General features: G+C 39.1%; 1 protein-coding gene and 1 non-coding gene across 15 annotated transcripts in view, besides 2 other annotated features; both read left to right on the forward strand.

The window, feature by feature from the left end:
- TULP4 (TUB like protein 4) overlaps window positions 1-15,249 on the forward strand; it is a 279,634-nt gene that overhangs the window by 88,896 nt on the left and 175,489 nt on the right. The window lies entirely within an intron of this gene.
- On the forward strand, window positions 1,892-2,038 carry SNORA116 (small nucleolar RNA, H/ACA box 116). The gene has a single exon (NR_145798.1). It is a non-coding gene; the product is annotated as a small nucleolar RNA, H/ACA box 116 (small nucleolar RNA).
- Window positions 2,251-2,320: an enhancer, noted in NCBI's record as "active region_25352". NCBI's record gives its function as "activates an Ori minimal core promoter by ATAC-STARR-seq in GM12878 lymphoblastoid cells {active_cell/tissue: GM12878}" and the evidence as "EXISTENCE:reporter gene assay evidence [ECO:0000049][PMID:35858748]".
- Window positions 4,314-4,363: an enhancer, noted in NCBI's record as "active region_25353". NCBI's record gives its function as "activates an Ori minimal core promoter by ATAC-STARR-seq in GM12878 lymphoblastoid cells {active_cell/tissue: GM12878}" and the evidence as "EXISTENCE:reporter gene assay evidence [ECO:0000049][PMID:35858748]".

Below are 15,249 nucleotides of genomic sequence, written 5' to 3' on the forward strand. Positions count from 1 at the left end.
GCTTTCTTTCCTTATTCTACTGAAATGAACTCCTCAATGACCACACATTGCTAAACTCATAGGTTTTTGGTGTTTTGTTTTTGTTTTTAAACTGCACTTGATGTCTCAGTAGCATCAGTAGAATTGAAATGTTGTCCAGGACACCAGGCTCTCCTGGTTTTCCTGTTACTGTTCTGGCCTCTGCTTTCCGCCTTTCTTTGCTGGCTCTGCCTTTTTTTTGCCTCATCTTTAAATGTTAACGGGCACCAGGCATGCATATTTTTCTGTATTTCCTCTCTATGTTGGCTTTAAATCTCCCTACATGCTATGACTCCAGATACCTCTCTCTGTCTGCCATCTCCTTCTAGTTCCAGACTTCATTCTCCAACTTGATATATGAGATACAAAAGTGGACACCAGTCAGGCCTCGCAGACTATCGGTCACCCAGACAGAACTCATTTCCCCCCGCCCCTTGAACCTCAGATCAGTTCCATGCACTGTTTCCCCATTTTAGTAGATGGCCCAAGACCAGCCAGTCAGTTCAGCTCTCAACTCAGGAATCTCCCTGCGCTTCCCTTGTCCCCAAGTCTTGTTATTAGCAAGACCTCCCACTGTATCTGACTTCCAGATAATATCTGAAACGTGCTCACTTCACCACCATGCCTAGCATAAACCTCCTCATGAATCTCTTGACTTAAACTCTACTATTTTTCTATTGTGGAGGACTCAACAATCTATGTTAAGTTTTTTAAGTGTTTTAAAAATATTATAAAAATTTACTTCTAAAGTACTTTTCTTTTTCCTAAAAACATTGTATGACACATCTTAATTCCAAAAAGGATGGGAATTTCTAGATTGTAAGAATGGTCTCCCTTGCAGTTGAAAGACCCTCCTAGTACCATTGTCTGATTCACCCTCTCCTGAAGAAGGCCCAGAGCCACTGGGGACTGGCAAGCCAGGTTCTGTGTCCACCTCACTGTGCATAGTGATGACCAACTTTCTCAACATTCAGAGAGGTTAGAAAACCATTTTATTTTGAAACATTTATACAGTATTTAAAGTACTTAATCTGTACAACAGTTTTAGTGGGAAAAGTTGACTCATTTTGGATTAAAGCCAGCAAAAACTCACTGCAGCTCTTTTATCTCTCATAAATTCTACATAGAAAGTGACTTTTAGTAGATTTGTGACCAACTAAGGTATTATAATGGTGGATATAATGGAGGGCTGTTTTATTTCCTTTAGTGATGGCCTGTTCTTTTTTCCTTTCTGTTTCTGTTTTTCCATATCTTGATTCCAAGAAGTTCTAGCTTTACCTGTCCAAGTCATTCATTAGTTTACTCAAGTCAGTAGTAAGTTGAAAATAATAATTCTCTTCTATCAGAGTTGTAGAACCTGAGATAATATGTTTTTGGAAGGGCTGTGAAAATGGTATATAAGTGATGAAATAGTAAAGTACTCTATACCCTTTGTACTTAAAGTAATATACTTAAGTATATTACTTTCCAGTCCTTACAATACCACTTAGTACCTGGAAATTCAGTTACTGTTCTGACTCATGAGGTTAGAAACAGTGTTTGTTGATTTTTGTTCCTCAGTTTAGATTTGAAAACACATGCATTAATTTTTAGCAGGTATTTACTGCATCTCTGTTGTGTGCCAGGTGCTGCGTGTATTTGCCACTGTCGGGGGGCAAGAGAAGTCCCAGCTTATACCTCATGGAATCTACAGTCTAGCATGAGGGTGAAACGTGGACTTCGCCTTCCTCTATTTGCATTTCCATTAGGAAGAGAAAGCAAGCTTTCAATTGTTCAAAGAATGAAGAATGAGGCTTCCTAGAGATTGTGTGGTGAAGATGATCTTTGAGCAGGGCCTTGAGAAATACTTAGGATTTAGCACGTTTAGCGCGTGCTTTTCTCAGTGGTGCAAGAAGATTAAGCCACATTCTGGCTTTAGAGAGGCATTTCTGAGAGAGATGAAGGACACTTCGTTCCCCAGCCCCAACCTAAGCATGTGACTGTACTCACCTTGTCAGATGCTGTTGGAACCTGGCTGACAAGGACAAGGACCTATGCATTTTTTCCTGCCCTGGAACAAAATTGCCCTTGTTGGACAGGCAGTGATGTTCTGTGCGCCTTTTGACTATACTGTGAAATGTTTGTGGTTTGTAATGGGGATTTTATCCATCTGAGCATGCTACACTTTTTATTAGTTTCCATGGCAGATGGTTAAACTAGGGTGCTGCCTTAATAATTTGACTTATGCAGGTGCTCAGATATGACTGTTTCTGTGCTTAATGTATTCAGCATGTGGTTGTAGTCGTTTGAAAAGTTACATAATCATGTGTTCATGACCTGAGTTAGAGATAATTTATTAGTGACTCAGCATTAATGACTCATTTTATGCAACTCTTCTGGTAAAGCAACGTTTCTGTTCATGTGAGCATATTGTAGCATGCTAGGTGACCACATCTACCTTGTTTCCTTCCTAGGTAGTACCTTTAGGTATTCCATTACAGGAGGGCTGCCCCACTCCCGGAGGTGCATTGAATACAGAGAGGGCATAGTTGGTGGAGAAAAGCCCTCCTTGGGATCATCTGTAGCTGGTAATAGGGACTGAGAAGCTCAGGGCTACATCATGGTTGAATGTTTGTGGATTCAGTGATCTGCATGGCAGGTTTCAAAACCATATAATGTTAAGAGATATGAATTGCAAAACCACAACCCCTCAGACTTTTCTATACAGTAAGTCCTCAATATTGTTAAGTTCTTGGAAACTGCAGCTTTAGGTGAAACAACACTTAGTATGTAGTATATACGTAGGATCTTTTTTCTTGTTTATATCAGTTAGCTTAAGGTAAAATTGTTTTCATATGCAGGTCATTTTTGCTTAAAGTTCAGCTTCTAAGAACCTATCCTTGAAGTTAAGTGAGGACTTAACTGTACTTTTTGCAGGTAAATTTACTGTATTGAGCGAAATGAATAGTGGAAACTTACCTAGTTTTTTACCCTGGAAAGGAATTTAAACCGATAAAATGCACTTACTAGAATTTGATGGATGTTCCGCTTTTATCTGCCAGCTTTATCACGAAGGATTTCCTCAGTGGGAACACTGAGAGAAAGGATCTGCATAGTGGGACTGGAAGGGTGGAGTAGTGTGTGAATGAAGTCAACTAGGTATTTAAAAAATATTCTTACATTCCCTGACTATAGCCATAATTAACGTCATTGTCCTGGTGAGTCTGTCTTCTTTTTTTAGACCAAGTCTGAAGAAATGGGTGGCAGATGTTGTACTGTTCTGATGTACTGCAGAGTGCTATAGTAGGTCAGAGGATGAAGCACTGTGGACCAGTGTGGTCAGGGAAGCTTCCTGCAGAGTCAGGGAGTGAGCTGGACCTTAATGTTCATTTCGGTTCCGTAAACATTTGAGAGCTCGCTCTAGGCTAGACTCTGTTGGGCTTTGGCTCTACAGTGGTGAAAAAGGCACTGTTCCTGCCCAGATGGATCGTCTATCGTGTGTCAGAGGGTGGATATTGTTTGCATGGATATAATGTTGTCTTTGCTGATGACAATTGCCATATATATTCCTGTAATTTGTGTGTGTGTGCTATGTCCATTATTTAGTGTAGCCCTCATAACATCTCTCTACAGCTTTGTATTAATATCCTTGCTGTACAGTTGGGGAACCTGAGGTTCTGAGATGTTAATGAAATTGTCTGAGGTTGCAGAGCCAGATGATGGCAGATCTGAGATTTGAATTTGTGTCTGTGTGTTTTTCTATCTATAAGACACTGCTTCAAAAAGGTGAAGGGAAGAGGCACCCTTAAACAGAGTTATGAATGACTGTGGTATGTGTGTGTTTTGGACATGGAAGAGTTTGGTGAAGTGTTGGAGAGTAGTGGAAAGCAAAGCGGGATCGACAGGTGGGACCAGACATACATAGTCATGATTATAAACAATAGTAATAAATGTTTGTGGCATGAAAGAAGACAGTGCTTTTGGTTTGGGCCGTATTCCAAGACCATAAGAAGACTCTCATATTCAAATAGAATTGTCAAAAAATCAAATGTGAGTGTAAAAATTACCATTCAATTCAGTGCATTTTTTCACCAATGTGGATAACTGACAGTTGACAGCACTGGCTATGCTTAATCAATTATGGAAATAATAGTCTTAAAGAAGTAACAGACATCAGTCACCATGATACTATGATAATGTACACATGAGCCTAACTCTTAATTGTAGCCAGTTATTGTAAACTGAAGGGATTTGAGGAACAGCTTTTCTTTTTTTTTTTTTTTCAGACAGAGTCTTACTCTGTCTCCCAGGCTGGAGTGCAGTGGTTGAATCTCGGCTCACTGCAAGCTCTGCCTCTTGGGTTCATGCCATTCTCCTGCCTTAGCCTCCCGAGTAGCTGGGACTACAGGCACCTATCACCACGCCTGGCTAATTTTTTGTATTTTTAGTAGAGACGGGATTTCACCGTGTTAGCCAGGATGGTCTCAATCTCCTGACCTCGTGATCCGCCCGCCTCGGCCTCCCAAAGTACTGGGGTTCAGGCGTGAGCCACCGCGCCCAGCCGAGGAACAGCTCTTCTTTTAAATGTCTTAGGAATTCTTATTTTGAATAAGGAACCTTTCTAGCAAAGAGGCAGAAATGAAACTTTTGTTTTATATTTAGGTCAGAATTTCATTTCACCTAAACTGGCTTATCTATTTTTATACCAAAGCTCAGTAGTGTGAGTTAATTTTTTATCACTGTAATAGTTATACATATTGGTAAATGCTAAGAATGAAAAATAGCAATGTTCTAACTCCTGTCTCCCCCCCTCCCCCCACCTGTTGTCCTGGCCACTTAACAAAGGCTCATACTATTATTTTTTTGATGAATCAATTTTAGGATTTTGTCTATTGACTTCATTCCCATCTCGTTAGGCTGAGATTTAGCACTCTTCTCTTTCTTTCATAGTCACTCAACCCAGCTTTGCCCTATCATCTAATCATTCCAGTATTACTGTATCACAAATATTGGTTATTATTCAGTGTTTACACTGTTTAAACTATGTCACTGTTATTCCCAGATGAGCCAAGTAGGGTACTATGATTGTATTCCTTCATTATTTAACTCTTTTCTCCTCATGATAAAAATTTCCCCCCCAGTGGTTTAGTTTATCTATTGCAAAACCTTCCTACATCTTCAGCATAATTTCATACATTCAAACCAATTAGATGGTTTATCAGTTCATTTTTTTGTTTTGTTTTGTTTTTGTTTTTTTCCTGAACACCTCCATCTGAGAGTCCTTTGTCATCCTTCTGCTCTCTGGATTGGTTGCTCAGTGGGCCTGCTGCCCAGGTGATTTCCTGAACTTCCTTTTAATCATCATCTTGGGAATTCTCTTTGCCCCCTATTTATTCCACGTGTCGTTTATGGAATCTTGTATTTTTTTGGTTAAACTCCTTTTTGTTGGAACATAATCTCCAGTATCTTCCTAAGAAAGTATTTGTAAGTCATAAAGTATAAGACTTTTAATCTCTGTAAATGTCTTAATTGCTTTCACACTTGATAGTTTGGCTGGGTACAGATTTCTAGGTAGTTTTCTTCAGAATTTTGTCTTCACATTTCCAGAGTTTTTAGAAGCATAGTAGTTAAGAGCTCAGGCCCCGGAGCTAGACTCAGTTTACGTTCTAGCTCCATCACTTAGTAATGCCATGACTTTAAATATATTATCTAATTTATCTTTATAGTTGTCCCTTGACTATCATGGTTTGAACTTTGTGGATCCACTTATATGTGGAATTTTTTCAATCAAATACGGATCAAAAATACAGTATTTCTGGGATGCAAAATCCATGTTTATATGGAGAGGATTATACACAAAATCAACGTTTGTATGCTTAAGTTCTTGTGGGCTGACTGCGGGATTTGAGTATGTGAGAATTTGGGTATACGTGCACAGTCCTGCAACCATCCCCCTTGTGTACCAGACTGTACTATGATTTTCTCATTTGTGAAATGGATTTATAAATAATACTTTCCTCATATGGGATTTGTTGTAAGGATTCAGTGGTTACTATAGCCATTTAGAAAAGTGGCTGGCACATGATGAGGGCTTTTTAAAATTGACTATTATTACTCTAGGTCCTTTATATGTGACCTAAAAAACATTCAAAAGTTTATGCATGTGTTCTTTTTTCTAGGTATTCTGAAATTTCATAATGGTCTGCTTTAGTAACTTTTTTCACATTAACAAGGTAGAGACCCATTTGGTGGAAACGATGCTCTTCAGTTCCAGGGCTTTTTGGTTGTTGTTGCTTTAAGAATTACTACCCACCTGCATCCTGGATTTTCTCTGTTTTCTCTAACCTACTAGTCAGATGTTTAACCTCTTAGAATAACTTCCTGACTTTTAAAGTTTTACATGTTTGACTTTCTGAGAGATTTCCTTACTTTATTTTTTAAGCTTTTCTAATCAAAATTATTTCAGAGCCATGATGGTTTTCATTTCTAACATCTTGTTCTAATCTACTGGCTGCTCCAGTTCTTATTTTATGGGCACTATATTTTCTCATACTTCTGTGAGGATACAAATTATGGTTTTAAACAATTTTTTTTTTGTCCATGCATTAGATCTGCTTTTTTTGAGGTTTTTTAAAGAGGTGTGTGTGAGTGTGTATAGGGGTGGTTCTGTGTGAATCTCCCCACCACCACCCAGATTTTTTATAATTGAGGTCTTCTTTAAATGTCTAATGATCCTTGACTATTTATTCAAATGTAAGAGTAGTGCACCATGAATCTCTTTGGCATCTTTTGTGTGTGTATATGTAGGGGGTGTTTAGCTGGTGAGCTTTATTGTATTATATAATGACCTGGGGGAGAACCAGCTGTTTTCTTGGGACTGCCAAAGGTCAGCATCCAAGCAGCTTTCTCCGTAGTGGTCCAGTTTCTTTCAGTAAGAAACTTCCAGTCACACACCTGTGAATATACTCCTGTTGCCAGCATTCTCAGAGCTGGTGTGTGTGTGTGTGTGTGTGTGTGTGTGTGTGTGTGTGTGTGTGTGTGCGTGCGTGCTGGGAAAGAGGTAGACCTAGTTATATGAAAGTTGGAGGAGCAGGAGGAGGGAGGAGGAGGAGCTAATATTGAGTATTTATTTTGTACCAGACACCATCCTAAGTGCTATAGCTCACTCAGTCCTCACATCAGCTCTGCAGCTTTGCACCTGTTATTGTCATCTTTTTTTTTTAGATGAGGAAAGTGAGGTACAGAGACGTTAAGCAGCTTGCCCAAAGTAAGGCATCTCTGCTAATTGACAGAGCTGAAATTGAACTCAGGAACCTTCTAGATTCTATGTATTTGGCTTTTCACAACATCATTCTTGTTTTCAATCCTTGTCACTATCTCTGCTGTGCCTGAGATTCCCAAAACGAGTTGTGGCTAACCCAGAGAATAACCCTTCAGTGCCTGATGTTGGTGGAGAGAAGAATTGCCTAGTTACATCTCATATGGCTCAGCAGGGGAGAGGAGTGCCCTCATGGTTGCTAAATGTGGGAATGGAATGTGAGGCAGGAGGCAGGTGAGAGGTTAGTACAGGTGGGAGGTGTCCCCGCTGTGTGGGGAGGAGGGACTTTTGCCACTAGTTCTGTTACAGGTTTGGGATTCTAGGACACTGGACACTAATGTGCCTAATCTGTAAGGCATTCTAGACTCATCTTGTGCAGTTCATTCATCTTCCCGCCTCGCAAGCCAGCAGAGCCTGACTTGGGGCCTCAGCTCTGCATGGAGCTACCTATTGGGCCTTCAACAGCGAGGGTTTTAGTCAGAAACACAGAAATGAATCCTTAGTGCACTGGGCAGTGGGTATCGTATTTTACTAGGAGGTTTTTGTCTAGAAGTTGGTCATTTCTCTGGGATATGGTATAGGATGGGTGGGAAGGGTGCCACAAGGAAAAACGTGAGAATTTGTACTGTGCAACAGTTTGGTGTTTCCAGTTGGGTCCACCCACAACCTTGACTCCAAACTTCCAAAACAAACACACCTGTGCATTTTGCCCAAGATTCTATTGCTGGGTGTTTTTATTGTACCTTCTGGCAACCTACATTTGGTTTCTCTTCCTCATTGTTGCTGTTTTAGGGAATTCTTACTGACATGTGTTGTTTTTTCCACTTGGCCTAGTTAGATTTGGTCTACTAAAATACAGAGGAGATTGTCTCTATCTTAGGGACTTTTCTTTATCCTCCTAGTCAAGCTCACTTCCAGCCTTTCTTTTTCCTCCCTGTATATAATCCCTGTGACAACGTTTAAGGCAAAACCGAGATTTGTATGTTTTAGCTCTGTTCTTTCTTTGCTGATTAAATTTTTAGAGTTTAAGGAAGAGTTCATTAATCAGAACCTTAACATTAAAAAAAAAAAAGAAGAATAACCTCGAAAGCACCATCCTTGTCAGAAAGCTCTATTTTGTAAACTCCTTGGTAGCAGAAATAAATGTTTGATGGCTTTGTTTAAAAAGGCAGTATGAGTTAATGTTTAGGACTTGGGAAGTTAATTTTATACAGAAAACAAGAGTGTAAAAACCATCTATTGTCTCTCCATTCACTTGATGTTTTTCACAATTTTAGATTTTTTTTTAACCTCTTCAGGAAATTCGCTACAGATGGCATTTGTGACTAATTAGGGAATCACTTAAACATGACCAAAGAGCTTTTGCTTGTCTCCTAGGCCTTAAAATTTTGTTTTCCTTTAATTGTGCTTTGAAAAACCTAACTATTTTCAAGATTGAAAACACCTTAGGGGAGTCAGGCTCTGTAATGTAAACTGAAATTTTCCCCTAGTAATGAAACACTTGTTTAAGTGATCAATATCTCTTTTTTAAAAAAAGCATTATTATATTTTAAATCAGCATTGTGCAATAGAAACATAATATTAACCACATATGTAATATTAAATTTTAAATAGACACATTAAAAGTAAAAAGAAACAGGTGAAATTAATTTTTAATATACTTTAACTCAATATATCTAAAATATTTCAGCATGTAATCGATATACAAACTACTAATTTGATAACCGATACTCTTTTTTTTATACTAAGTCTTTGAAATCTGGCACATCTCAATTTGGATTAGCCACACTGGCAAGTGCCCAGTTGCCACATGTGGCTAGTAACTACCATATTGGACTGTAGTTTTAGACAAGTCTCTTTCTTTTTGAGGGCTGTGGCAGAGCTCCATGCTTACCCAGAGAACTTGTTAATGAATGTCCAATAGGACCTTGGATAAAAGGCATTTAAAAACCCTTTTATTTGGAAATAATTTCAAACTATAAAAATTGGAATAAAGTACAAAGAATACTCTTACTCAAATTCAGCTATGAACATTTTGCTTTATTCTGTCCTTTGCACTTCCATGTGCACGCATACACTCTCTCTCTTTCTCTCTCTTGTTATATATGTAAGGTGTTCTTCCCCCCTGGATCATTTGAGAGTGTACATCTTGGTCCTTTACTCTAAAATACTTCAATGTGTATTTCCTAAGAACAAGAACATAACCACTATAGTACAGTTAGTTATCAACTTCAGGAAATTTAACGTCAATTCAATACTTAAATTATTCTCCATACTCCACTTTTGTCAACTGATGAACTATCCTCTGTAGTTTTTCTTTATTCCTCTACACAGGATACAGTTTAGGACCACACACTGCATTTAGTTGTTAGGTATCTTTAGACCCCTGTAATCTGGAATAGCTCTTCAGTTTTTCCTTATGTTTTATGACATTGACCTTTTAGAAGAATGCTCCTCTTTCTTTTTAATAGAATGTTTGGTATTTTGTGTTTTTTTCCCTTTTTTCTTTTGTTTTTGTTATTAAATTTAGATTAATCATCCCAAGCCAGAATACTACATAAATGATGTGTCCTTTTCAGGGTGTCACATGTGGAGGTGCACAGTAGCTATCTGCCCCTCATTGGTGATGTTAATTTTGATCACCTGGCCAAAGTGCTGTCCATTTTCTCAACTGTGTTGTTATTGGTTTTTTTCCCCCTGTATTTGATAATCTGTTGAGAGATCACTTCAAAACCATGCAAATATCCTATTCCTTATCAGAATTTCTTCCCTAGATTTATGATCCATTGATGATTCTTCCATGAGCCAGTCTTTTCTATGATGGTTGCAAAAACGGTGATTTTCCAATTCCACTACTCCCTCCATGAGTACTGGCAGCTGACAGATGTAATCAAGAGCCTCCTGTTGTTCCCTATCCACCCACCTACCTATCTGTGAACTCTTGGATTTCCACTTTTTTCTTCAATGATTATTTCCTTTGATTATTTGGATTCAAATTTGGTCAAAGTGTCCCAGATTTGGCCAGCAGGAGCCCCTTTAGGTTGGCTCGTGTCCTTTTGGTGCACCCCAGTCACTGGCAGTGGTAGGTGGGCACCTCTTTATTTATTTTCTAGCTTAACAAGATGTTTCAGCATCATCTTGTACTTACCCTGCCCTGGGTCTGGAAGCAGTAATTTCTCTGAGGAATGCTGTTTCAATGGGGAATGGTATTAGAAACCAACATCTGGCCTCTAGAGGTGTTCATTGTTACCGGAATATCTTTGCTGCTGGACTCGTTCAACAGACACACACACACACACACACACACACACACACACACACACATACGTATATATATACGTGTATATACACGTGTATATATACACGTATATATACACACACACATACCTACATACACACATTCAGTAGCAGTCTGGGTTCAATTAGGAGACGGAAACCACACAGTGGGTTAAACACAGGAAGTTTAATATAAAGAATAATTAACTGCCGGGCACGGTGGCTCACGCCTGTAATCCCAGCACTTTGGGAGGCTGAGGTGGGCGGATTACCCGAGGTCAGGAATTCGACACCAGCCTGGCCAACATGGTGAAACCCCATCTCTACTAAAAATACAAAAATTAGCCAGGCATCGTGGCACACACCTATAATCCTAGCTACTCAGGAGGCTGAGACAGGAGAATCATTTGAACCCGGGAGGCGGAGGTTGCAGTTAGCCGAGATCACGCCACTGCACTTCAGCCTGGTCGACAGAGTAAGACTCTGTCAAAAAAAAAAAAAAAAAAAAAAAAAAAAAAAATATATATATATATATATATATATATATAAATTGAAAAGAGAGAAACAGTAAGATATAAAGAGACTCTGTATAGTACCCTAGGGCCGAAGGAGATGATGCAAGGGAGGATAAGCTGGGAAGGGGTTCAGATCTTATTGGAGAAGGTGTGGTTCAGCCTAGCACATAGCACGGAAGTTTGTTAGCTTAGTTAGACTAGAGCTGGTCTAGAGTTGTTGGGCAATCAGTAAATAACCCTCTGGAGTGCAGGCAAGGGAGGAGGCTGTCCCTCCATGGTAGTGGTGGAGTGTGGGCAGAGGGCCTTCAAAGTGAATGGCCCATGCAGGGGATGGGATGGAGAGGGACTTGCAGAAGGAGTGACTACTCACTTTTTGACCCTCAGGCCATTGGCAGCTGGGAGTATGGACAAGTGGCAGGATCACTGGTTTCTATGTTGAGGAGCTATAGAAAGATTGTCACTAGGCCAAAGCTGTAAGGTCATAGGACTGTGTGCTGGGCTATTGGATAGGCGGACTTTCCTGGATTTTCTCATACCTTCATGGCATCTTCCACTCTGAAGAGCCCTGGAAGTTTCAGGAACTATTTTCATCTTGTGGTGTCCCTCTAGTCCTTTTTCTGGAGAAAGCTTAACCTTGTGCTCACTTTAAAGGAGGAATGTTTAAAGGAATTCTATTGTTTATTATAGAGCACGTATTGATGGGTTGGGAGCTGAGAGGCAATAAACTGACATACACACACACGTACATACATGCATATATGTATACACATTACATATATGTGTTTTAGAAATCATGAATTTACACCAGTATTTCCAATTCCAGACCACCCCTATACCTTCCCCCATTTCGTTTTTGTAATCCCTTCTTCCATAGTTTGCTTAATGCTATAATACATCTAAAAATAATTTCAGGTTTACTACACCTGTACTAATATAAAAACCAAACCTACCAAAAGGATGTCATGGACTGAATGTTTGTATCCTCCAAAAATTCATATGTTGAAGCCCTAACCTCCAATGTGATGATGTTTGGAGAAGGGGCCTCTAAGAAGTAATTAACATTAGATGAAGTCATGAGGGTGGGGCCCTCGTGATGAGATTAGTGCCCTAAAAGAAGACACATCGGAGAGCTTGCGCGAAGAAGAGGTCATGTGAGCTCACAGTGAGATGGTGGCCACCTATAAATGAGAAGAGCTCTCAGGGTGAAACCTACCTTGCCAGCACCTTAACCTTGGACTTTCTAGCCTCCAGAACTGTGAGAAATAAATTTCTGTTGTTTGAATTACCCAGTCTATGGTATTTGATATGGCAGCACAAGCAGGCTAATACAGAAAAGTTCAGAATTTGCTTGCAGTTCTTCTTCACCTTCCCTCTGCCCACCTTCCCAAACTAGCTATGTACAGTTGGCCTCTGTGTGAGTCTACTTATTCTCAGATTTTCAATAATATATTGGAACAATTTTTAGAGATTTGTGACAATTTGAAAAAATTCACAGATGAGCTGCATAGCCTAGAAATATTGAAAAAATTAAGAAAACGTGTCATGAATGCATAAAATAAATGCAGGTACTGTTCTATTTTGTCATTTACTGGCTACCCTAAAATATATACAAATTTATTATAAAATGTTAAAATTTATCAAAACTTACACGCACAAACAGACCACACGTGGTGCTACTTTCAGTCAAGGGAAATACAGACAAACATAAAGATGTAGTAGTATTAAATTGTAACTGCATAAACTTAACTGTAGTATGTACTACACTACTGTAATAATTTTGTAGCCTCGTCCTGTTGCTATTGCAATGAGCTCCAGTGTCGCGAGTATCCGCTTAAAATATTGTGTGATGCTTGTCATCCCAGTGTGAGCAGTTTGTCCCCAGTGAATTGCGCATCACAGTAAAAAGTGCCCTCTCACTGTTCTCATGTATTTTTCCTCCTGTTTCGTGCAATACTGTAAACCTTGAATAACCACCATGAGATCCATATGAAATGGCACTAGTGATGCTGGAAGTGCTCCCAAGAAGCAGAGAAAAGTCATGACATTACAAGAAAAAGTTGAATTACTTGATAGGTGCTGGAGACAGGTCTGCAGCTGGGGTGGCTGCCATTTCAGACAGATAGTTCATCTTGTAAACAGGAAGTGTAAACTTGCCATATGGATAAATACAGTACAGTACGGTGAATGTATTTTCTCTTCCTTATGATTTTCTTAATAATGTTTTCTTTTTCTAGCTTTATTGTAAGAATATGGTATATAATACATAAAACAAAATACATGTTAATTTACTGTTTATGTTATTGGTAAGGCTACTGATCAGCAATAGACATGAGTAAATAAGTTTTAGGGGAGGTAAAAGTTATATGCAGATCTTCAACTGTGTGGGGGTTGGCACCCCTAACCCCCGCATTGTTCAGGGGTTAGCTGTAGTTAAATACGGAAGCTCCTAAGTTGCTTATATTGATTACCCTCTACTCCCCTTTCAGTGTGTGCAGTGGTCTGAATGTGTCCTCCAAAATTCACATGTTGAAACTTTACAGCCAATGTCATCATATTTAGAGGTGAGGCCTTAAAGAGGTGATTAAGTCATGAGGGTGAAACCCTCAAGGATGGGATTAGACTCCTTATAAAAGGGCTTGAGGAAGGGCTTTATTTCTCTGTTCTGCTCTTCTGCTGTGTGAGGACACCTAGAAGGTGGCATTTATGAGGAACAGGCCTTCACCAGACACCATCTCTGCTGACACCTTGATCTTGGACTTCCTAACCTCCACAACTGTGAAAAAATAAATTTCTGTTCTTGGTCAGGTACAGTGGCTCAGGCCTGTAGTCCCAGGGCTTTGGGAGGTTGAGGCGGGCGGATCACAAGGTCAGGAGTTCGAGACCAGCCTGGCCAACATGGTGAAACCCGGTCTCTACTAAAAATACAAAAAATTAGCAGAGTGTGGTGGCAGGTGCCTGTAATCTCAGCTACTTGGGAGGCTGAGGAAGGAGAATCACTTGAACCCGGGAGGCAGAGGTTGCAGTGAGCTGAGATCATGCCACTGCACTCCAGCCTGGTGAACAGAGCGAGACTGTCTCAAAAAAAAAAAAAAAAAAATTTTTGTTCTTTATAAGTACCCAGTCTCAGGTACTTTGTTATAGTGACACATATACTTAAGTAATTATACTTAATTACTTAATGTGGTTAAGTAATTCATTTAAAATACAGTTGTTTTTGTTTCAGTTTGCTTTTAGTTTTTTGATCTTTTCCTCTTCATTCTTATGATTTTATGTTTTGAATATATAGAACATTAACATGCATTTGAAAGTCAAAACCACATAAAAAGGTATATCCAGAGAAGTAACATTACATTCATCCCTCCCACTTCATCCACCCATCTTGTAGATACTAACTTCATTATTTTCTGATTTATTTTGTTCCTTCTGTAAAAATAGGCAGATGTGTGTGGTGTATATTTATGTTTTCTTATTTTCTTCTCTGCCTTTGACAAAAGGACTGTTTTTGCACTTCGCTGTTTTCGTTTAACATCTGGAGATCATTCCATGTCAGTTCATGTGCATCTTCCTCATTTCTTTTTTACAGCACATGGTGTGCCATTATGTATACACATATACTACTGTATATCGTAGTACTATATTTTACCCAACAACTCTCCAAGTTTGAATGCTTAGGGAGTTCCTGTATTTTGCAATTACAGATAATGCTGCAGTGAATAATTTGTGTGTATGTTGGACGTGTATCTTCAGGGTAAATTCTTAGAAGTGAAATCGCTGCATTGTAATGTGAAGACATATATAGTTTTCTTAGATATTGCCAAACTTCTTTCCATAATGATGAACCATTTTGCATTCCCAGCAGCAATTTATGAGAATACCATTTTCTCCCACAGCTTCACCCATAGTATATTACCAAGCTTTTACATTGTTGCCAATATGGTAGAAGAAAATGGCACTGCAGTGTGGTTTTAATTTGGATATCTCCTATTATGAGTAAGGTTGAACATATTTTCAAACATTTAAGGGCCATTTTAAAAATCTTGTGAATTGTCTATATCTTTCATCTATTTTTCTATAGAAATTTTGGTCACCTTCAAATTGTAAAATGTCTATGTATATTGGAGACAGTAATATTAGTCTTTTATC

The sequence above is a fragment of the Homo sapiens genome, chromosome 6 (genome assembly GCF_000001405.40).
Source record: "Homo sapiens chromosome 6, GRCh38.p14 Primary Assembly".
Classification (NCBI taxonomy): domain Eukaryota; kingdom Metazoa; phylum Chordata; class Mammalia; order Primates; family Hominidae; genus Homo; species Homo sapiens.